Source organism: Homo sapiens, chromosome 8 (assembly GCF_000001405.40).
Source record: "Homo sapiens chromosome 8, GRCh38.p14 Primary Assembly".
Taxonomy (NCBI): Eukaryota; Metazoa; Chordata; class Mammalia; order Primates; family Hominidae; genus Homo; species Homo sapiens.
In genome coordinates this window covers 54,709,249-54,732,873 of record NC_000008.11, presented here as the reverse complement: position 1 = coordinate 54,732,873, position 23,625 = coordinate 54,709,249, and the positions used below count along the sequence as shown (strand labels likewise).

Sequence of the window (23,625 nt, the reverse complement as noted above, 5' to 3'; positions counted from 1 at the left end):
GTGAATCCCATGCCATTTACATCAGAAGTAGCTGACCCAGAAATGATCACAAAAATTGGTCCAACAAAATTTTATGGCATGATCTAATTTTCAAAACTCAGTGTTACATGTGAACATTTGGCCACTGTGCCTGACATTTCTAGTCAAACACACTTGGAATTTCCTCAGGCCCAGGCAATTGCATTACCAGATCTCTACTGACAAAGACTCCACAGCACATCCATGAGTTCCAGAGAGAAACTGGTGATCCTAGGTCAATGGCTGACATTTTAGGATGTCGATCATTCACTTACTTACTATCTTATGGATATCTTATTCATCTAAAAGAATCACTTTCACTCAACTAAAGAAAACTTTAGTTCCTATTATTTGCTGGGCATTGTGTTGGGCTCATTGCTCTCATAATAACAGAACTGATGAAAAGTTTGAAAGATAACTAATGAGAGTCTCACCCTGGAGATACATGCTATCCAGTGGTGAAAACAGACATATAAATATCTGGATTTCAAATATTCAAATACCTTCATGGAAAACAAACAAACAAATAAAAAACTACTGAAAAGTTCAGGTGTAGCGGAGGGCAGGAAGTGAGTAATTGAGGAGTGGGCAGAAAAGGCTTCACAGAGGAAACCTTAGTGCTGGATGTAGGAATATGGCTCAGAATTTCGCAGAAAGACAGGAAGAGCATTCTAAACAGAGGGGACAGCATTCCCAGCATGTGCATGGCTTGCAGCAGCAGGCATGCTGGAAGAACTGCAGGTGCCAATGTTCAGCTGAACACAAGATATTATGTGTGAAGAGGAGAGACAGAAATGTGAGGATCGTGGAAGGCACTGGCCAAGCTGGAAGGGAGTTGGCAAATCCTTTTGCAAGCAACAGAGAGCCAGTCACAATTTTAAAGTATGGTGGTGGTCTGAGCTAAGTATTAGAAAGATCGGTCTGAAACAGGGTGAACTGTAGCAGGGACAGACTGAGGTAAGAAGGCCAGTGAACAAACAATAGACACTAGACAGTGAACAAACATACAAAGAAACAAACTCTGAAATGAAATCAAGAGACCACAGTTATTTAGTCTGAATTTTTTTTCCATGTCCGTGCATGAATGAACACAAATCTATGTGTGTATGTGTTCAGCTTGTTTGTTTGATTTAATCTGCAAATGAGTTGACAGCCTCTAAGGCCCCTTATTCCTGCATTAACATGTTCTTGCATCATTTGCACAAAAATAACACATTGTCAGGGTACACTCATATTATAAAAATTGATGGCTAAATATGATATAATCTATAATGCAGAATGATGTATTAAAGTTTGTACTGTTATCAATTAAATATGAACACCATGTAATACCATGATCTTTTGGAAATAACCAACGTCCATTAGTCTCAGACTATAAATTTCTGCTGAGAACTGAGAACCATAAAAGCAGTTGCTTTTGTTGACCAGAAGTTTAAAATACTCTAAGCTAGGAGAATATTTAATGGGGACCCTGGATTAGTCAATAGACTCCTTCTCGGTCACCCTGAATAAAATCTGTGGTACCTAAGATTATACAGATGACTCAAAAACATGCCCTGTGAGGGTGACTGAACAATTTAATTAAACACCAATCAGGTTGACTCAGACCAAAAAAACAAAAAATGTTAATCTACTTTGTGTTGCTGCTAGTCCACTGAAGCTCTAGTGGAAAAAAATAAATTACTTGTAGAAATAAGTAATAAACTAGCTGATTCTAATAGTTCATGGGTTGATTAAAGTTAAGGTCAGCATAAAGCATGAATTACCATCAGAGTGTGGCCATAAAAGGACAGATTTTATAGCCTCTATATGCTATTCCAAGATAGTATTTGAGAAAACTGATTTATTCTAACATGTCATTGAAAACAACTGAAAACAAATGTGTCCTAATATCTGATAGTGTAATATCAGATATTTAAACCCTAATTTCAAAACATATAATCTGCAAAAAATAAGACAGTGAAAGCATCCCCCTATAGTTATCTTGCAATAGATGAAATCTATTTCTACAAAATTAACATAGTCTTGTTTTATTCATAAATTTCCAGTTTCTCAATTAAGGGATACAAAGCACAGGATGCACAAAGCTGGTAGAGATAACTAACACAGAAAACAGGATCACATAATCAAAGGCATCCTAACATGCTTGCCCATTGGATTAATACCAAGAAGATAAAAACTAACCAGGATCAAGGTAAAGGTCTGTGTCTTGGTTGAAAGATCAGTTATATGTTTTACACTGAAAGGATATTATGAATAAAATATCCTAATGATCTTAATATAAACCAGAAATGCAATAAAAATGCCCAAAACATGTATTCCAAGCTGAGACTGTATTAACTGATGTATAAGGTCACATAAAAGGAATACCATTATTCTAAACTGTTCAGATTATATGAGAAGACAGGTTCCTACTTGGAGATTCACACTTTAAGAGAAATATTCATAAAGGTGAAGAGTCTAAAACCATATATAAGAAGAAATTATTAAAGCAATATATTTGACACAGATGAGAATATACTAAAGAGAAATACTAAGAATCCACTTTTGGTATATTTATATACATATAAGAAGAATATACTAAGAGGAAATGAGAATATACTAAGAAAAAACAACAATGGTTGTTTTATAGAAGAAGATATTGACTTTTTTATAGGCCAAAAGAATTTATGGGTAGTTTTTCTGCTCAACATAGGGAGGTACTTTCAAGTGATTAGGATTATCTGAAATGGAATGGCTTATTTCTGCACTCTTCCTGTGAACCTCTATGTTGCTTATGATGTGTCAGAGGTCCCTTCAAATCCTCAATCTATGATGAACGAAAACTTACACTACCTTTACAATATATAATTTACAACAGCACAAGCATTAAAAAAAATAAAACTATAGTTCACTCTGGATGCCAAGTGCTATTTTTTATATTAAAAAGGACACAAAAATTACAACAAGAATAACCATTAATATAATTCATTATCTTGTAATTCCATTTATGGGAATTATTCTAATGAAATAATATATAGATGAGCATCCATTACAAATTATAATAAGAAAATAGGTAAATATGTTATGCTACGTCAACAAAATGGATTATTTGTAGTTATTAAATTTTATTTAAAATATTTATTATGAAAAATTCTTTAATGATTAGTACCTTCTATTAACTGAGAAGGTTACAAAATGATATATTTAATATAATCTACAAGTGTATATACATACATATATGCACAAGCATAAATAGATTTTAAAGTGCTCTTTGGGGGAGTAGTAAGTTGATATAATTTTAAGATTTTCCTGTATGCTTGATGTGTTCTACTTTTTTTCGGAATGAAATTATTTTTAGTCAAACATGACTACCCAAGATTTTTCAGAATTTACTGACTGCTGTTTTTAAGGAAGACTTCAACTTAATAATAGATTTTTTTTCTGCCCAGGTTTATTTGTTTTTAAAGTATTGGCACCTAAACATATTTAGGAAAGAAAATGCCATGGCTGAGACTTTGGCACAGATTAGGATTTGCCTGGCAACACTGTAGAACATGCCACCACAAACAGATGATGGACTGGCAGGATGGCTGCACTGCACTGTTCAAGTGCCCATGCACAGAGACAAGCGACTGGAGCTGAGACCTGCATAACATTCATCTTCCTGGGTCTTGATTTTCTCATTTATAGAAATAGGTAGTTGCCGGAAAGATATCTAAGGGCAATTTCAGTTCAGAGCATCAAATCATAAGTCTTCTCTTTTTATATTCGGTTTGAATGTGTTTAAATGCAGTGTTTCCAAACTTAAAATTATGCAGAAGTAATGTATATTCTCACTTAAATAATTTTTAAAATATGGCATTTCTGAAGTATTTATGAATAATATGGTGTCTTATATTTGCTTTAAAATAATTAAATGAGGACATTGTAGGGCATAGCAGGAAGGACCATAACTAAGACAGAACTACGTCTATGTTGATCATTGTTGAAGCTGAGTGATGGGTACATGGGGGTTCATTTGTCCATTATCTCTACCTTTGTGTGTGTTTAAAATTTTCCATAATAAAAAGATTATTCTAAAAAAATAAGATTCCTTCCTCAACCCCACCACCCTAACAAAATTAATATCATAATGCAGTTTAGACCTAAATGACAGCCTTGCAAATTTAATGACACTATATCTCTACTTAACTACTACAAAATAACTATTTATCATATATGTGCTATTTTAAGTTCTAAATCCTCTTGCCCTTTTGATGTAGATGAGAAAAGTTCCATCTTTCTTCTTAATAAATAAGCATTTTGAATGAAGACAGAACAGTTTTATTTTGTCTATAATTTCTCATTCCCAAAACTATACATCTTGCCCTATCCCAAAAGTGGGTGGACAAACATAGTCTCATTCTTAAGGAACTGATATTTGGTTTTAGATATCTTTAAAAGTAGAAAATAAGTTTTCTAAAGTGTTTTTCAACTAACATATTTTAATATGAATGGCTAATGCAACCCAAATCTGTCTTGACAGCTAAGGTGCAAAACCAAGAGGAAGGTATTTCTTGCAAGAAGCAACTTTTTAACTATTGCAGTCCTTTGATAGAGGTAGAAAAAAGACAACTAAAGGGAATCATGATCTAATTACTCAGTAACAGATGAGAGAGAGACTTCTAGGGAAATATTCATACATAAAGACATTTTTTCCTCACTTAAAATCATGGGTGCTTATAAAACCACTCCCACTGCAATCAGAGAAGGCAAAATTTAACCATATCATGGGCATTTTATAAGTGGCATTTGCCTTAGAGGAGCTTCATCATCTGGACTTCCCAGATTTCATATCCAGGGCCAAAATCTGTGACAGGTCAAAGTTTTAAAAAGTTCATGAAGAAACTGAGCTCAGTCTCCATTTTCTCAGTCTTTGGCCCACTCTCCATTTCTGCTGTATTGCCATTAACCACAATGAAGAACTTATAAGTCTTTTTACAATTAATTATTGACTTAAATTTTATTTTGTGTCTCGTATGCTCTGGATATTTCCTTCATCTCAATTATCAGGTTTTAGCCTTCCATTTTTGTGTGATTGTTTAATGTTTATCTGAACAGCTCACCTATCAAATTCAAGAGGGTAGAGACCAAGTCTGTTTTACCTATAACATCTGACATTTAATGGGCACACAATTCATATTTAATGTTGAATTAAATGAAATAATTATTTGAAAAGGTCTATGTTTATCATGAAGCCTAATTTTGTCATTTTTACAAATTACTTGGCCAGCCTCAGTAAAAAAAATCCTTAAAAATTTCATAATGGTAACATTTAAAAAATATTTTTGCCAGAACAAATTTTCATAAGACATATAGAAGGTTTTCTCATAAGCATTTTGCCACTCATTAAAAAAGTATCTATCCCCCAGGGATTTCGGCTAGCATGCTATTTTCAACCAATTCAAATTTTACTTGAGGTGGCCATCCCTGATTTAGATACCATTACTTCCTGACACAAGACTGAATTCTGCTGTGAGAAATTTTAACTAAGCACATATTTCTCATTCAGTGTGATTCTTCACACTGCTCCATGGATTCAAGACATGACATGGAAATAAAAAACTGAGACTAGTCCTTTGCAGCAAAAATCAAAAGGCTAATTTCTCTTCCCTATGTTCATGAGCTAATAGCTTAGGATGGTCAACAAGAGACGTCTATTATATTACTATCTAAAAGAAAAGCTAGCATACCCAATAACTAATTTTTAAAAATCACTTTTTTAAAGGTAACATTATAATTTATCTGTCTCCCAAGACGGGTTTTAAAAAAATGGTCCCCCAGAGATGGTCCCCTATTTCATCTTATCCAAAGATGACTAGATTCTGATACACGGAATTTGTCAGATATCATATATTATACTTTCCCGTCAGATAAAAGTTAATACATTTAAGAGCAACAAAAATTATCAAATGGACCAATATAGAAACTAGGAATTTAAGCCTCTGGGACCGAGAGCACTTTTTTTTAAGCTTCAGTTTCTATACCAGAGAAATAGAAATTATTTTTTTCATTGCTTAGACTTTAGTGAGAATTTACTGTTTTTCATAAAATATATTCATAAAATATTTTGTAGGTGATAGTCCAATTGATGTTATAATTTAATACTATCTTCTTTTCAACTCATTGTTCTGGGTGAACATTAAATTTAAGACAAAGAAACACATTTAAAAATATATGTATTCTTTATAATATAAAACTTAAGGCATAAAAAAGCAAGATAACAGCTTACAAGCAGTCCATGTGGTATAACATAATATATGCTGTAAAAATAATTTAATAGTCTTCCTGCAATGGCCACAGGAAGAAATAATGCAGCAAACAAACCAAAAGTATGAAAGCAAAAGCTGTGGCTTACTTGCAGTTGAAGAAGGTAAGGGACTCCTAGCCTCAGATTCTGGGGGTATTTTTTTCTGTTTTTTTGACTCATGGATCTTTTCTTCTTCTTGGCTGGGTGTTGCAGACATTCCCATTGGGTTTTCTCTGCCAACTGAAATTAAGATTTTAAAAGATGCCATCCTTTCAAAATCACTTGTTTCTTCTCAGAATACTCATCATATGTTCAGCTATGCAAGTTTAATTTTTGCTATTGTTTCCATTTCAATGCCTAGTCAAATCTCTTTACTCAGAATTACATAGTTAACAGAAAATGACTTCTTATTCTTACCAGCAGGCTGTGCATGGGTGGCATCCCTATAAAACCTACTCATTGCTTTGCAAATCCGAACGATAGTTAACATCACAATATGAATCAAACAACTTATTCAAAATGTTTTTCTTATAGATTCTAAATGGGAACTTCTTTAACAATCTTGTTCTTTGCCTTCCTCAAAAGGGGAAACTAAAACGTCATTCAAACAGGATTTCATGTGACCTTACTGAAATACATGAATCAACAAAATATACACATATCTATAAGTAATGGAAAACATTAGCTACTTTTCTACCTTTTACTTAGAAGCAAGTTGTTTTGGAGTCTTGTTTAGAAATAGGTATCTCTAAGTTAAATAATGACTTCAACTTTATAGTATATGCTCCTAAGTGTTATTTATATTTAGGATTTCAAATTCAAGTTGTTTGTGTTCATTTTCTAGGATCAGGCATAGGCATATTGAGTTTTTAAATGGTGGTAATTCACACTATGAATGGCTTTAGAGTTCTCATCAGCAACAAAAAATTATGTAAATTTCTGATTCTATAAGATAAAGAGTAAGAACAACTACTTCTTAATACCACAATTGCAGTCAACGATGTAAGATGACTCACACAGTAAGAAAGCATAACAACCTCAAAGGTATGCTTAGTAGAAATTAGCGACACTTATCACACAGAGTGATGGTGCAGACTATACAATACTGGTGGCTGAAGAACTGCCCATGATTACATTGTTATTTATATCCTTCAGGTGTTATAAGATATCATTTCAGACAATAATAAGCTTTTAAATACTAATCCTTTTAAAACATAGTTTTTCCATATGGTTTATATACAATGCAATGCTGAGACACTAAAAATCGATAATAAAGGAACTTTAAAACATTAAAAAGAAGATAGAAATAACTAGAAATATGTTCATGGAGAATAAATAAATAATTGTAGAGGAAAAAAATTTAAGATTCTTATATATAACTAAGAGTTCATTTACCAATGTAATATAGAAATTCAGGATCTACAAAGAGATAAACTATCTTCCAGTCACTGTATAGCATGAGGAACAAATCAATGTATAAGAAATGGCTTCTGACATTGATGGGGTTACAGCCCAGAGAGAGACCACATAAACATGACCTCTGATAGATACTGATGAGCGCTTTAACTGACACAAGCACAACGTGCATAGGGAGCACAGAGGAGAAAACAATTAATGTGCCAGTCCATTAGAAACAAGCCCAAAAAGGGTTGCACAACAGGGCCAGTCTATGCAGAACTGTGAAACAAGAATGAGCATTTTACCTCTCTATCCTCCCCACACTGGCTTCTCATTAATTCTACCTCCACTTCTCAAAAAGTACACCAATATCTCTTTATACAACACAGTAGTATGGAATTCAGAAAGTGGAAGACATTTTCTGGAAATGTCATCCAGCAAGTTCCTATCGCTCTGTAGAGAAGGCTTCCCATTTTGTCTTTAGGCCAGGTGGGTTACAGAAAGATGTTCAAAAGCCAAGTACCAAAGTGACCCTCCAATAATACAATACTCTGAATTGTAGCAACCCTTAGTAGCCCTTTGTCTGACTTTTACAATTTAAAAAAAAAAGTGAAAACTGTATCACTAGCAATGTAAAACAAAACCTGTGGTGAAGGTGAAAGAACCAGAGCTGTCTAGGTAGAGATGTTATCAAAAGGTGTATGTTACATATACAGCTGGATTTGGATGATTAGTGACTCACTTCAGGTAGTACCTCATTATATCCAAAATTTAAGCTATATCAAGATCTACCAGACTATAAAGGCAGTAAATCTACAAAATCAACTAGGAAAAGTCTTTTGTTTTATTGAATACCTTCTATTTTAAAAGTAAAACAAGTGAAAACTTACATAATAGCAATTATTATAGTGTCATATTAGTGCATATATGTTTTAAACCCATATAGTCTATTTTATCATCTGAAACATATTTTGTCATATTTTTCTAAGACCGTAATATACATAGTCAGAATTTTATGAATTGGATATATGACAGTATTTCATTTAGATTTTTATGCTTGAATGATCTTAGCAGACTAGAATGAAGCAAAAATAAAATGTCCAAACATATTTTAATGCAAACTTCCATAAGACTTGAACCTGAAAGAAATTCTTATTGTAATAAAAAAGTAACATCTGAACCATATCTTCAGTCCTGCATTTTTGAGGGGTTACTAATAGCCAGAGTCTCATGATTTATATACAGAGGATGGCTCATACCATAAAACTGGGCTGGAATTAGAGCAAGAGGAGGCAAATTTCTGTGCAAAAGTCAAGTATCTCTTAAAATACTTCTAAAAACATAGATAGGTTCACTCTTTCCTAAGTATGCTATAAAAGTAATAGTACACTGAAGTTAGCAAAAAGTTACATGTTATATTGATCTACAGTTTTTTAAAACAATACCTAGCAGTGTGGTCTTACTCTACGGAATTATAAATGCAGGCTTATTATCTGGAGGAACAGAATGAAGAAAACTTTCAAATCACCCACATATCCGGATAATCAATGGAGAATCTTCTCCATGGGCTCAGTATAATAACTAATCACATAAGCCCAAGGGGTCAGATCTTTTCACACTTTCTCATGTATACACTGCGAATATAAATTCATGAAAATAGAGAGTGAAGAGGTTTTACTGCACAAGCTAGCAAGAACAGTTAAATGGTAGTGGGATAAATGACTTGTATTATAAATTCCCAATACACAGTAAATTAAACCAAATCCTTACCAAACTGTAGATGAAAAAAATCAATCACAGAGAAAGGAAATATGCAAAGTGATTAAAAGAGGTGATGAGACGGAATCTCTTGTCTTTTAGAAATCTATCGACTCTATTTAAGTGATAAAAAAAATGCCATGAAGTGCTCTTCCTCTTTTTAATAATCATAACAGCAAATACTTGCACAGCACTTGCTGAGTACCAGACACTATTCTAAGCATCTTACATATGTTAATTCACGTAATTCTCACACCACAACTGAGGGAAGGTACTCTTGGTCCTCATTTGACAGAACAGAGGCAGGTGGTCCAAGAGCTGTGAAAGCATACCACTGGCAAAAGCTCCCCGCACCCAGGACCTGGACACTGGCAGTCTGGCTCTCAGAGCTTGTGTGCTGAAATCCCACCCTTGTCCCTCTACCCTGCTATACTTCTGAGCCTCTTGCTGTTTGGTGGGTGGAACCTGTCAATGAGACTGCCCTCGTTGTAGGCTGAGCAGAGCTGTGCCCTCCACGTGATGGTGTGCCATGTCAGACCAGGCAGCGTGTAGACATTTACTTGAGGTGCACACTCATTCAGATTGCATGTCTGGGGGCAACAGGTGGAGTCTCTTGAGATGTAAACTTAGATTCTCTTCCTACCACAATCTCTTACCCTATCCAAGTCCCCTTATCAGTCAGGGTGCCTCACAACTTTAACTCTGCTTTCTAGACAACTATGAGGAAAAGTTTAAGCTGAAAAAAAAAGTTTCAGCTTAACTTTTTCGGGGGCTGCTCTATCTCTGTATTAAAATATAAACAATTCAAAACTCCCAAATGTTTTGGGGAGTGAACTTTTTTGGCATAGTGTAGGCTCAATCTATCATATGTAGATAGTTTAGTTAGAAAATATTCTATTGGGAGGCCGAGGCGGGCGGATCACGAGGTCAGGAGATTGAGACCATCCTGGCTAACACGGTGAAACCCCGTCTGTACGAAAAATACAAAAAATTAGCTGGGCGCGGTGGCGGGCGCCTGTAGTCCCAGATACTCGGGAGGCTGAGGCAGGGGAATGGCGTGAACCCGGGAGGTGGAGCTTGCAGTGAGCCGAGATAGCGCCACTGCACTCCAGCCTGGGGACAGAATGAGACTCCGTCACACACACACACACACAAAAAAAAAAACCATTCTAAAATAATAAAATGACTTGGAGAATTACTATAAACTTTTTTTTTTTTTTTGGAGCTAGAGTGCAGGGGAGCGTTCTCAGCTCACTGCACCCTCCGCCTCACAGGTTCAAGTGATTCTTCTCCCAGTAGCTGGGATTACAGGCGTGCACCACCACGACCAGCTAATTTTTGTATTTTTAGTAGAGACAGGGTTTCACCATGTTGGCCAGGCCGGTCTCAAATTCCTGGCCTCAAGTGATCCACCCATCTTGGCCTCCCAAAGTGCTGGGATTATAAGCGTGAGCCACAGTGCCCGGCCCTACAAACTTTTACATAAACATTCTGTCACTCTTCACAAAATCCCCTAAGATAGAGTTTTTAACACTCAGAAATCCCAATGGAATGCTCTTCTTGTGAAACTGGAAAGTATTATTTTGTATTTTGAAGAAATGTTGATGCTTTCAAACCCTTCCTCAGAATTCCTAGGATTCATGAATCTTCAATAAAATTTCTAAAGCAATGTCTCCTGCATTCTTGCCCTTGTTAAAGCAGGAGGTTGCCTCTAGTAAATAGAGAAGAAAACATAAACCATCCATGCTATAGTAACAGAACTAAATTTTAGGGGCTGTAAAGAAGAATGGCTTTGTTTCTATTGGTTCTTTTAGTACTAATACCCTAAGGTTGACAAATGTGGCCTTTTATTATTTCTCTCTTATGTCTTGCCACAAATTACTTTTCTTCTTCTCATTTCTTTTTCTATTATTTCAATCTCTTCTTTTTCACCTTTTCATCTCTACCTGCTTTCTGGTCATTTCTGTTTTCTCCCTGTGCTCTTCCAGCATGGCAGCTGACCCCTGCTAGCTATTTCCCACTGCTCTTTTTCTACTCCTGTATTCTTCTGCTAGCTTTGAAGTCACCTGTTTCCCTTCAGAGCTCCAGAGGCAGATGGCATACTCACTGTGTCAAGGCAGAATGCCACTCTGTGACAGCCTGTAGGAAAATGAAGGGTGGAGGGAGTGGTGGTATGGATGGCAGTAAACTCAGGTATACTAGCCCAACAGTTTGCAAAATTTTTAAAAAAGCAACTAAAGGCTGAAAAGAAGTTGATGCAGATAGAGTGAAGAACAGGACCAAATATACCATCATGTTACATCAGGCTCATTTTATTCCTATTCTAAGCTATCTTCTGTGGGATATTATATATACACATACAGTAAACATGTACTCTCATAAGCCAATAGAAGCTAAACAAAAGTCAGACTAAGAAAATGACACAGATATTGAGTAAGCCAAAATTCAGGGAACCATATCAAGCAAAAATTAGATAGCAATCTAAACTTCAAGGTAATTGAAAAATACAATAGAGTTACTTTACTAGCCTTTGTGTTCAAACACATTTTAAGGTTTGAACACAAATACATGTTTAAATAATGTCCTCATATCTTCATTTCAATTTGCTAGAGAACAGGAACTTAGATATGAGAGAAACCAGTTTCAAAATATTCACATTTCTGTCCTATCTTGAAATTTTTTCCAAATCCTATTTTTAATCCAAATCCCAATTGTGTTGATCTTTATTCCATCTCTTTTTATACTGCAACCATTAAAAATTAATAGCAATGAATCTGAGAATATTTCTAACAGCCTCATCCCTCTCAGGGTACATGAAGCTATCCTTAAAAAACAAAGATTCAAACATGCACATGTACACAGACACACGAATGCACACACATAACTTTCAAAGTTACAAAGAAGTTCAATGTAGCAAAAACTCTATACCTAATATTAATTATCTGAAAACTTGAGGCAACTGGTCTTCATTATGTTTTCCTTCCATTGCTTCTGGAATGACAACAAACAAAAAAGCCTAGCAGCAGAGATTTGCTTAGTAAAAATGTGATGAAATTTTCAGACACTGTACACAAACCATCATAAAGCAAACCAAAAATCAAAGCATTTCAGAGTAAACATACATTGGATGACTTGTGGATAGAAGCAAACATTCTCATCCTTGGTATAAATCATTGGTTTTGCCTGCCCATCTGACTGAAGTCCAACAAACAATCCTGGGCTCTTCGTAGATTCCAGGCTTATGGATGCATTCTTCAAGTTCTTCTTAATTTTAAAATGACAGTCAACATCTCCTGTACCCTACAATCAATACAAAATGATTCAATAAATGTGAGCAAGTCCTAAAAGACAGAATTTAAAACCAGTCGTTTTAAAAGAATATAATTTTGTCTCGTTTCGAATCACTATGATAAATCTAGAGCCTTTTTACGTAAATTGCCCTGTGTGCTTCATCCTATTTCACAAGATCCAGAAACAGAGACCACATGATGGGTTGAGGCAAGGACACATGCCTTTGGACAAAAAACTCTGAATAGCATAAGAGCTTCAACTAAGGAGAGTGTTGTATATGCTGTATTTCATTTTAGAGTTGCTCACCTCTATGGGTGAATGTAGAACATTAAAATGTGGAACTTTTCTTTTAGAAAATACTCTAAAATGGTGGGAAAAGTGCTATTCTTACCATAAGTCAATTTACATTTAAATGTAAACCAATTTTCTGTGCTATTCTGCATTTTCCAGATTGAATTTTCATAAACAGCATGCACACAAATGATGCAAAGACTGTAGAGGAAAATATTCAAGAATCGAATGCCTAGCAGTAATCTATACACCCTCAGATTATTATAACACTTCTCCATTCTTTAAGCCATTTATAATCTAATATTAGAAAATATTTTGCCTTTCACTGTTTTAAAAGTTTCTTTATAGGATTTCAGTCCCAACTAATGACTTTTGTAAGGATGGATTAAAATTTCCAATAGCAACTAGTATTTTATTTGTGATACAAATTATATTCTGGTCTCCCCTCAAATGTGAGCTTCTTTCAGTAAGAACCAAGGGAGTCTCTCTCTCTTTCTCTCTCGCTTTTTATAAAGTAAGCAATTTCTATCTTCTGTTCTTGTTCTAAATTCAATAAGATTCTGGCCTTGCATTGTTCATGGTCGAGTAGAGAAGACAACCACATATACAGATAATAAGTAGGGGAAGGTGAGCTGGGGGTAGGGATAGGAAATTTCAGGTGGAGGGGCACCATAAACTAAGACAGAGGGGCCATAGGCAGCATGGTGTATGGATGAACAAGCACCTTAATGATGCTGAACAATACAGAAGGTAAGTACAGAAAAGCAGCTTCAGTTTGTTGCAGCATAGGAAGTTTGGGCCTTACCATAGACCATCTGTGTTGTTTCCTGAGATTCCCAAACCTCCTAAATGATGTATTTGCATACATTAAGGTTTACTCTTTGTGCTATACAATTCTGTGGGTTTTAACAAATCTATAATGTCTTGTATCTGTTATTACAATGGCATACAGAATAACTGTACTGCCCTAAAGATCCCCTATGCTTCATCTATTTATCCTTTCCATACTTCCCTCAAACCCCTAGCAACCACTGATTATTTTACTGTGTCTATAGCTTTGCATTTTCCAGAATGTCCTATAATTGGAATGGTATAATATGTAATCTTATCATACTGGCTTCTTGCAATATGCATTTAAGTTTCCTCAATGTCTTTTCATGGCTCATTTCTTTTTACTGATGAATAATACTCCATTGTACCAATGTACCAAAATTTACACATTCACCTACTGAAGGACATCTTGGTTGTTTCCAGTTTGGGGTGATTATGAAAAAAGCTGGTACAAACATTCATGGACATGTTTAAGCTCTGGGTCTAGATTCGTTTGTAGGCATATGGACATCCAATTGTTCCAGTACCATTTGTTGAAAAGTCTACCCTTTCTCCATTGAGTTCCCTTTGCTCCTTTGTCAAAGATCACTTCACTGTATTTGTGTGGGTCTATTTCTAGGCTTTCTATTCTGCTCCATTGATCTCTGTGCCTTTTCTTTCATCAATAACACACTGTCTTGATTTCTATAGCTTTATAGCAAATCTTAAATGTAGGTAGTTTCAGTATTCTAACTTTGTTCTTCTTCAGTATTATGTTGGCTATTCTGGGTCTGTTGCCTTTTCATATAAACTCAGGACCAGCTTATAGATAGCCACAAAATAGCTTGCTGGAATTTTGACTGGAATTGTATTGAATCTATGATAAAGTTGGTAAGAACTGACAACAACCTTGAGTCTTCCAATATATAAACAAGGAATATCTGTCCATTTATTTAAATTTTCTTTGATTTTTTTCATCAGTATTTTCTAGTTTTCCACATAGAGATCCAGAATATATTTTGTTAGATTTGTACATTTTTATACTAATATAACTGGAATTATGTTTTTAATTTTAAATTCCAATTGTTCATTGCTAGTATATAGGAATGCAATGAAAATTTGTATATTAGCCTCGTACATTGCAACCTCACTATAAACACTTACTGATTCTGAAATTGTTTTGTTGATTCTTTGGGATTACCTACATAAAGACTAATATCATCTGTGAGCCAAGAGAGTTTTATTTCTTCCTTCCCAATCTGTATACATTTTGTTTCCTTTTTCTGTCTTATTGATTAGCTAAGACTTCCTATATAATATTGGAGTGGTGAGAGATGTCCTTGCTTTGTTCTTGATCTTAAAGAAAAAGCATCCAGTTTCTCACTATTAAGTATAATATTAGCTGCAAGTTTTTTGTAGGTATTCTTAATCAAGTTGAGAAAGTTCCCATCTATTCATAGTTTACTGAAAGTTAGTCTTTTTATTTCACCACCAATATTCAATCAGCCATTAATATTCAGTAATCCACATGATCTATCAAATTTGACTCAAACTCTCCAGTTTTGTCATTACTTCCCAGATTTTAGGCCCCATCACCTCATTCCTAGATCTAACTCAAGTAAGGATAATATTTGTGAATTATTTAACTAATATATTCTCATTGCTAATTCTTCCAAGGCTCTCTTACCTACTAAATCAACAATACTCATTGTGTTGGCGTAAGAAGAATCCAGCCTAGAGCAAAAACATCTTTGCTCAGCTTTGAGCTTCCAAATGGAAGGGTTTTAACAAATCTGTAGTAAATTAAGATTTAAAAAGGTGCTTTTTATTTGTAAAAGCAAGTTTATTGAGAGAGAAAATGGTTGACAAAAGAAATTCCAAAATTGAAAATATTCCTAGAACCTGGAGGACGGGACACCTGAGAGTTTAAATGATGAAGCCACTGAAAAGGTAGATACCATATATTACATAGAGAAAACTGCCACCCCACAAGAAGAGAGGTGCATCCGATTCTGAAAGGAGGGGCCTGGGACAAATGACTAGAAGAGAGACAACTCCACTTGGAGTTGATTCTTGGTGTAGCAAAGAAATAAGGGGCATTAGAATCATCCATATATTTTGGGAGAGAATCTCAACAGCTGAGGGGCTATCCCAGGAAACTTACACACTCCCCTTAGAGTATCCCAGTGTTTAGCATAGTACTAGAGCAACATGGGGACATCCAGAAGATGGATTAGAAATGCTCAAGGAGGGAGTCTGAGAAAGTAACACTGATACAGCTTCCTAGCTTCTCCGCAGCTCACATGGAGACATCAGGAGATCTAGAAGTTATCCCATGCCTTAATGGCAGACTCAATTATTGAGAGGACTGGAGATCTGGGAGAGGGCTGGATTTGCTACAAGCTGCCCACTGAGTTAGGACCATTAAGACCAGAGGTTATGCAAGACTCTCAAGCCCTATGTTGCCCAAAATGCTCTGATTATAATATCAGTCATATTTGAAATTAAACACAATTGGTATATCCACATTCAGGGACAAACCAAATCAGCCACACTTCAGTAAAGACCAGTGTGGACCTCAAGAATGGTCTATGTCCCGTGGCCTTTTTCCATGATTTTTTTTTAAGTCTTTGTACCAAGATATCAAACAAGGATGAGGGAAAGGAGAAAAAAAGAATAAATAATTTAAAAAAATTATTATTGACCTGTAAAGGACTAATCTTTCAACTAGATAGAAACCAAGATATACAAGCATATTCTGACAGAAAAAAAGAAATCCATCAGTCAAACTAAGCACACTGGAACATACTAGGATTACTAGTGCACTTTAGATAAATTATGGGCTTTTCAGCCAAACTGTGTTTCATTATAGTAATCTCGTAGCTACTCTTCCAAACTTCCGGTTCTCAATAAACTAGCACATCTTCCACAGTGAGGCCAGATTTATGAACTTGAATATCATTCCCAAACCACTATCTCCCCAAACTTAGAACAGATAACGTATTAAAAATCAATGTCATTTTACATTAAAGATCTCAAGGAATTGCTCATGACTTACACAATAGAAAATTTCCAAACCAACACTGAACTTGGTACTTACTTCTGGTATTGAACTTTGCACACTATGGCGTATTTGTCTGTTTACGTTCTTCTTTTCCCCTTTTAAATCACAAGTTTCCTGAGAGCAGGGAGCATGTCTTAGTATATCTACTGTAGCACTAGTGACGAGCAGTTTCTGCATTTCAGTAGAAACTCAGTATCTGTTAACTCTAAATTTCTTTTTACTAATTTCTAATCTCATAATTTGTTCATGTAATGTCCTCTCCTCTCTTTGATAAAGAAAAGTGGAATTATTCTCTTGCTCTAAAATTCACCATTCTAGGAAACTTCTACTCACCCACTCTGCTCAAATCAACCTGCCTCTCCTGAGCCTTCGCAGAAACACCTGAACCACAACTTGAAAGGGATTACCAATTAACTATTGTTCTCCAGATCAATGTGGTATGCGTATTTGTCCCCTCTAACAGTGCCTGAAGGAATGGTATTTTTAACCTCCACTAAGTATAATTAGTGAAAATAATAAAAATTGAATATAACTACATTTCAAAACAATAAACCTTTAGTTTCCTTTATTTCCTCTTTCCTGCTTTCATTTAAAAATCTCTGCTTCATCCCTAACTCAAATACAAACTGATTAAAGAGATGTAGATGGGAAATAAAACATGAGTTCTGACTGCAAAAGGTGCGCCTTCCTACACATCTGCAGCAAACAGCAACTAGACATAGCCAGGTTAGAATATCTGATGCATGCTCACACCACTGCAAGCTACCATAACATCTAATGCCCATTTCCCTCTATTTGGCTCTGTTGCAGTAGAACAACTCCTAGTTACCATCACCCAAGTGATATTTTAACTTTTCATACTTAATATTTGTCAAGCACTTACCAAAACGTCAGTTCTTGCTGTACAGTTTGGGATATTTCAATAAACAAAGCAAACAAAACTCTCCCCACTGTGGTGCCCACATCCTAGTAGTATACATTCTACACACTGGAGTATTATTATGCCTTCTCTTTTCCAAGATGAATCACTCAGCAATTTATTCCTTTCTTAAAGGCTATTTGCCCCTGATAGGGGAAATCTTTGTTGCTGTCCTTAAGGCCCACTGTATATTCTTCAAATCTCTTTCATGCTGTAAAGATTAAATACATAGACTGTGATCTACAACAAAGTCACCACTGACAAGTTCATCTTGCCAGCTGCCCAGATACAGCTAGTTTATGAAGATGGAGGAATTGCAACAGAGAATGAGTTTAATGCATGCAGAGCAGGCTAAATGGGAGACTGGAGTTTTATTATTACTCAGATTAACCTCCCCCAAATTTTTGGAGGCCAGGGTTTTTAAAGACAGTTTGGCAGGCACGAGGCTAGAGAGTGGGGAATGCTGCTGATTGGTTGGGTCAGGGATGAAATCATAGGGAGCTGAAGCTGTCTTCTTGCTGTCTTCAGTTCCTGGGTGGGTGACACATAATTAGTTGAGCCAGTTTACTAGTGTGGGTGGCACCAGCTGGTCCATCAGAATGCAGGGTCTGAAAAATACCCCAAACTCCAATCTTAGATTTTACAATAGTGATGTTATCCATAGGAACAATTGGAAAGGTCTGGAGTCTGGCTGCATGACTCCTGAGCCATAATTTTTAATCTTGTGGCTAATTTGTTAGTTTTACCAAGTCTGTCTGGTGCCTAAACAAGGAAGGGGTTTGTTACAGAGAGGGACTGTTATTATCTTTGTTTCTAAGTTAAACTACAGGCTGGGTGCGGTGGCTCACGCCTGTAATCCCAGCACTTTGGGAGGCTGAGGCAGGTGGATCACCTGAGATCAGCAGTTTGAGACCATCCTGGACAACATGGTGAAACCCCGTATCTACTAAAAATACAAAAATTAGCTGGGCGTGGTGGTGGGCATCTGTAACCCCAGCTACTCGGGAAGCTGAGGCAGGAGAATCACCTGAACCCAGGACATGGAGGAAGACAGTTTGCAGGTTAGAAGCAAGATGGAATCTGTTAGGTCAAATTTCTTTCACTGCCATAATTTTCCTACGTCAGATTTTTCCCACTAACATAATTTTTGCAAAGGCAATTTCAGTAATAGTGAAATGTAAGACCATTTTTTAGAAAATTCAAACAAAATAATTTATCTTGCATGTAGCTATGTATGTAAACACAATTTTATTCAGATCAAGTTTTTTAAATTTTTTGATTAGGTAAAACACGATTTATAATTTTTACATAAAACTAAGACTTTCACTGAATTTTATACTTTCCAACCCACTGGTCTAGCACCGTGTAAACCTAACTTCATCTATATGCTTTCATGTGTTTTTATATTTCAACTTCTTATAAATATGAATTACCTTTAATTTTTTAATTTGCATGCGTAGAATATACTTTGAATGAAGAGGCAAAATTAGACAAATCCACAATGAGAGAATCTTTCCTAGTTTCTACAAACTAAACTCTTGCCCATAGACAAGTATCCTGCCAGTGTGGGGTATGTCTGTGTGCATATCTTGGTTACAGTGATCACACTTGAGCTTATTTTTCCTACAATTCCTACATCTTTTTTTCCTTTGTATTCATGCTTAGTGAGTTCCACCCATGTTATTTTAAAGTTTATTTTTCTTCTTTAAATTAACACCCTTACAAATGTCCCTATGAACGGCCTGCTGTTTGTTACTAACCTGAATTTCGATTACATCAAATCTATTAAGGTGATTTACTTATACAAGATAAAAATTTCATGGTAACAGAAACAGAAATATTTGTTATAGGATCAGTGTCACTTTATTTAAATGTAAGTGTATTTGCCTATAAAAATGTTTCCAAATTTACAACAGCAGACATGTTGGAACCATTAATGTTTTTATTCAATTCAATTTAGTACAAAAAAAAAAAAGCATTTCTTGAGTAGCTACCAGGACTGAGGCACTGTTGGGTTTTTAAGGTATAGTAACATGACCATGCATTACCATTTACCTTTGAATGCATCTTAAATCCCTTTGGAGATTATAAGCATGCCTTACCATAGCCTCTAAACATACGCAAACTAGGGTAATTAAGAGGACTGTTTTCATTCTGTTTTCAAGGGTAATGTCATTCCAGTCTAGTGGTTCTTAGTCAGATATAATGAAAGTGAAAAATAATATGCTTCGTTGTTATGTATCAATACTATTTCTTAAGAACAAGGAAGCACAGGCATTTTGAGTAAAATGACTCACTACCAAAATTTGAGATGGAGAATTTTAAAGTAAGACAACGAAATCAATGAGTCATTAAACAAGTCAAAGAAAACACTACAATGGAAGTAGCAGAAGTAAAACATAAATGAGGAGTTTTCTGTGGAGGCTCTTCTCTATAAAAGTACCAGAGTAAAGGTTAAAAATCAATATTTTCTGAGTGGCAGACACCATCAGGAGGTAGGCTCAGAGTGCTCCTTTAGGCCTCTGCTAATGACATATTGTTAATGCACAAAACAACTGGTGACCCACAGGAGAACCCTGATGTTCAGTGACAGCATGTGTGAGAAGCCACACTCAAGGGGCCAATCCCAGTGAAGAGCTAGGACACCACAGCTCTGGACCAGGCCTGATACTTATGATGGAATGCAGGAAACACTACCCTAAAATATGGCATCTTGGCACAGTGAGTATTTTAAGCTGAAGGAAATGAGAAAACTGTGGAAGCAGGACGGTCTCCCAGACCCTCTCCAGCCCACTCTCTCCTGAAGTGGGCCATAGAAACTGAAATTCCCTCTCCCCTGTCTCTCCCGATGTAGGCCACAGAAACTAGAATTCCTCTTGCTTCTTCTCCCAGGAACCAGCCCACAAAACCTGGAAAGGTCACCTCTCTGACCTTCCCTCTCCTTGTTTCCCCTAAAGATCTTCATGTGACAGGTGTCTTACTTCATACCTGGAGGAAAGAAATATCACACAGTGACTCCAAGAAAAACCTGGACAGGCCTTACTAAGTTCCCCACAGTTCATTACCATTAGATCATACCCTTTGGTTCTCCAATTATACTTCTGCATAAGTATCTATAAAATTACAAAGTTTTCCCTAGGTCTTTGGATCATTTCTTAAGCCTCCTGAGCTACACAGAACTTATTGAAGTGAATTTGTATGCTTTTCTCTTATTAATCTGTTTTTTTGTTATGGGTCTCAGCCGGGAAGCTTGCAATGGGTGAAAAAAAAAAATCATGTTTTGTCTCCTACATTTACAATCATTAAATTTAGAAAAGAAACTCTCCATCCCTGGCAAATCTTTTAATAACTACACAAAAGGAGTCATAAGATCATTTACATGGGTCAGTTTTAGGTGAAGACCTGCTGCAGGTGTTTGCTTTCCTAATTGGTTGCTGTGTGAGCTTAGGGTTAGGAGGCGTTACTACAAACCTAAGAGCGCTCGCTCAGCCTTGGAATGCAGTTAGACACTAAAAATACAGTCAGCCTCCTCCCTTTGTCTTGCTGATCTGGTTATAGTATCAGGGAATTCACCACTGGCCAAAGCAGTGCCACACTTTCCTATGATTTACAGAGTATTCAAGAGCTTCTGGCTTTATGGACAGGCTGTGTAAAATTTCAAATCTTTTAGCAATAACTTTCCAATGCAATAATCTTCCAAGAACAGGATTGGAATTTTTAACAGAAATAATAGGAAGCTAGAAACCTCTAGAGAATGTTTGAGCCTCTGAGCCTCTGAGTTTAGGAGGCAGAAGGGCAAAAGTTACCGATGTACAGTATGATGTAGGCCAGGAAGATCTTCAAAACCTTAACGTTAAGCTAAAGATTTTTACAAATGTCTATTAAAAAAACATAGTAACAGTATTTTCTCTGTAATCCTCAAGGATTACACTCACCTCACCTTATTCTGGGGATTGACACTGAACTGATACACATTGGTAGAGCCAGATACATTTTTTAAATACTGTAATATTGACAGCAACAGGAGTCAGAGAAACGCTAGGCAGACAGGAGTGGCCCCTGGCAAAACTCCACCTTTGAGGTGAAAAGCCTGAAACCCACAGCCCAAAGTGAAAACTTCCATCCTTGTGTGTCGGCTCTCTCCTGATTGTTTCTTTCTGAATAATGTCTTTTTACCAGTCGAATGTTGCCTTTTCCAAAACTACCTATGGCCTGCCCCACCTCCCCATCCTGTGCCTATAAAGACCCAGACTCAGTCGGTAGAGAGGATAAGCAGCTGGACATCAGGGAGAGGCAACTTGACTTCAGAGACAGCGGCTGGATGAGGCAGAGGTGGCTTAACTTCAGGGTAGAGTGACCTGCCCTTCCCATCCTTTTTCCAGCTCCCCTCTCCGCTGACAGCGACTTTCATTGCTCAATAAAATTCTCCACATTCACCATCCTTCAATTTGTCCATGTGACCTCATTCTTCTTGGGTGGTGGACAAAAATTCAGGATGCACCAAGTGCGGGTAGCCAAAAAGGCTGTCACACTGGCCCTTTGCCCTCACCAGTGGAGGGCAGCTGCCCTACACAACGAGGCAAAGGGCCCACAGAACTGATAACACACTGCTGTCTACAGACGGTGGGACTAACAGAGCATTGTAACACACCCCTTCTGGGACCTTGGGGTTGCAGGCACCCCCATCTGGATGCTGCCATGGGGCCTGCACAGAGTTTGCTCCTGCTGGTGCTAAAGCAGCTGGCCAGTTTTTGCACTCACTTGCTCCAGTGCCTGCACTTGTTTGCTCGCGTGCTCCCTCCCATGAAGGGTTGAGCGGGGCAGGCTAAGTAAAATGGGCACCCCTGTTGCAAGACCTGCAAAGGGGTCAAGAAAATATCCTGCATCAATATTTTCATATTGGATGATGAATAGCCATCGTCTAAGCCCCCTTGTGTCTCCCTCATGTTCTGGTTGCCCTAGAATGGGAGAACCCCTAGAGGTCACAGCCCACTGCCAGGGTTAGGCGTCAGGGCCTGGATCCCAGCACAAAAACATGGGGCCCTGATGGCATGGCCAGCCAATACCTCATCCACATCTTGGACCTTCAAGGATCCTTGCTCCTTGCTTGTCCTGAAGGTTGCACTCCAGGAGTTTCAGTGTACCAAACTGCTTGTTAAATACAGTATTTTGAGTAACACCCCAGCATATATGGACCTGTTATTTCTGGTTTGCCCCTTTACACAGCTCCCCTTACCAGTGTTTTTTGCATTTAGCTACTACTTTACACACATGTGTTGCCTTCAGAGGCCTCAGAGGAGTGACCTTAACCCTCTGGACAAGGCTCATGTAACCTAGCTATGGTGTGCTTATCTCCAAAAGGCCTAGAGAATCTCTGCCTTATGTGCAATATTTCTTATTTTAATGTTCTGTATATCAAATTCTGTGTAACCAACTCATTTATGCTCTTTCACCTTTATCAATCAATTTCACTGGGTTCTCCATTTTGGCTATCTCTTCCCCAAAGCAAACAGAATAAATGCCTCTGGCTTTTTTCAAATTGTGAAATATCTCTAAGAAGAAGTGATACTTGGGTTTGAAACTCCAGTGCATGATTGCCTGCCTCAGCTCAGCTCAGCTCAGCATGATTGCCTTCCAACATACACAGAAGTCCTGAACCTGGCATTTCATCCTGTGAAGCCCTTCAGGAAGGGAAAACAGAAGGGGCTTCCAACATTGATGCAAAGCAGCACAACGTAGGCTGGCATGGCACAGAGTGTTCTCCCACCCATTTCAGAGCCACTCACTCACCTGACATGCTGTCAA

General features: G+C 36.8%; 1 protein-coding gene across 8 annotated transcripts in view, besides 1 other annotated feature; it reads right to left on the bottom strand.

The window, feature by feature from the left end:
- RP1 (RP1 axonemal microtubule associated) overlaps positions 1-23,625 on the bottom strand; it is a 312,050-nt gene that overhangs the window by 138,361 nt on the left and 150,064 nt on the right. For all 8 annotated transcript variants that reach the window (XM_047422069.1, XM_047422070.1, XM_047422071.1 and 5 more), the window contains 2 exons: positions 12,568-12,745; positions 6,398-6,529 (listed from right to left, as the gene is read on the bottom strand). In XM_047422069.1, the coding sequence (XP_047278025.1) occupies positions 6,398-6,529; positions 12,568-12,745 (310 nt within the window). The remainder of the gene's footprint in view (positions 1-6,397; positions 6,530-12,567; positions 12,746-23,625) is intronic.
- Positions 21,151-21,445: a silencer, noted in NCBI's record as "tiled region #1198; HepG2 Repressive non-DNase unmatched - State 24:Quies". NCBI's record gives its function as "represses a minimal TATA promoter and a strong SV40 promoter by Sharpr-MPRA in HepG2 cells {active_cell/tissue: HepG2}" and the evidence as "EXISTENCE:reporter gene assay evidence [ECO:0000049][PMID:27701403]".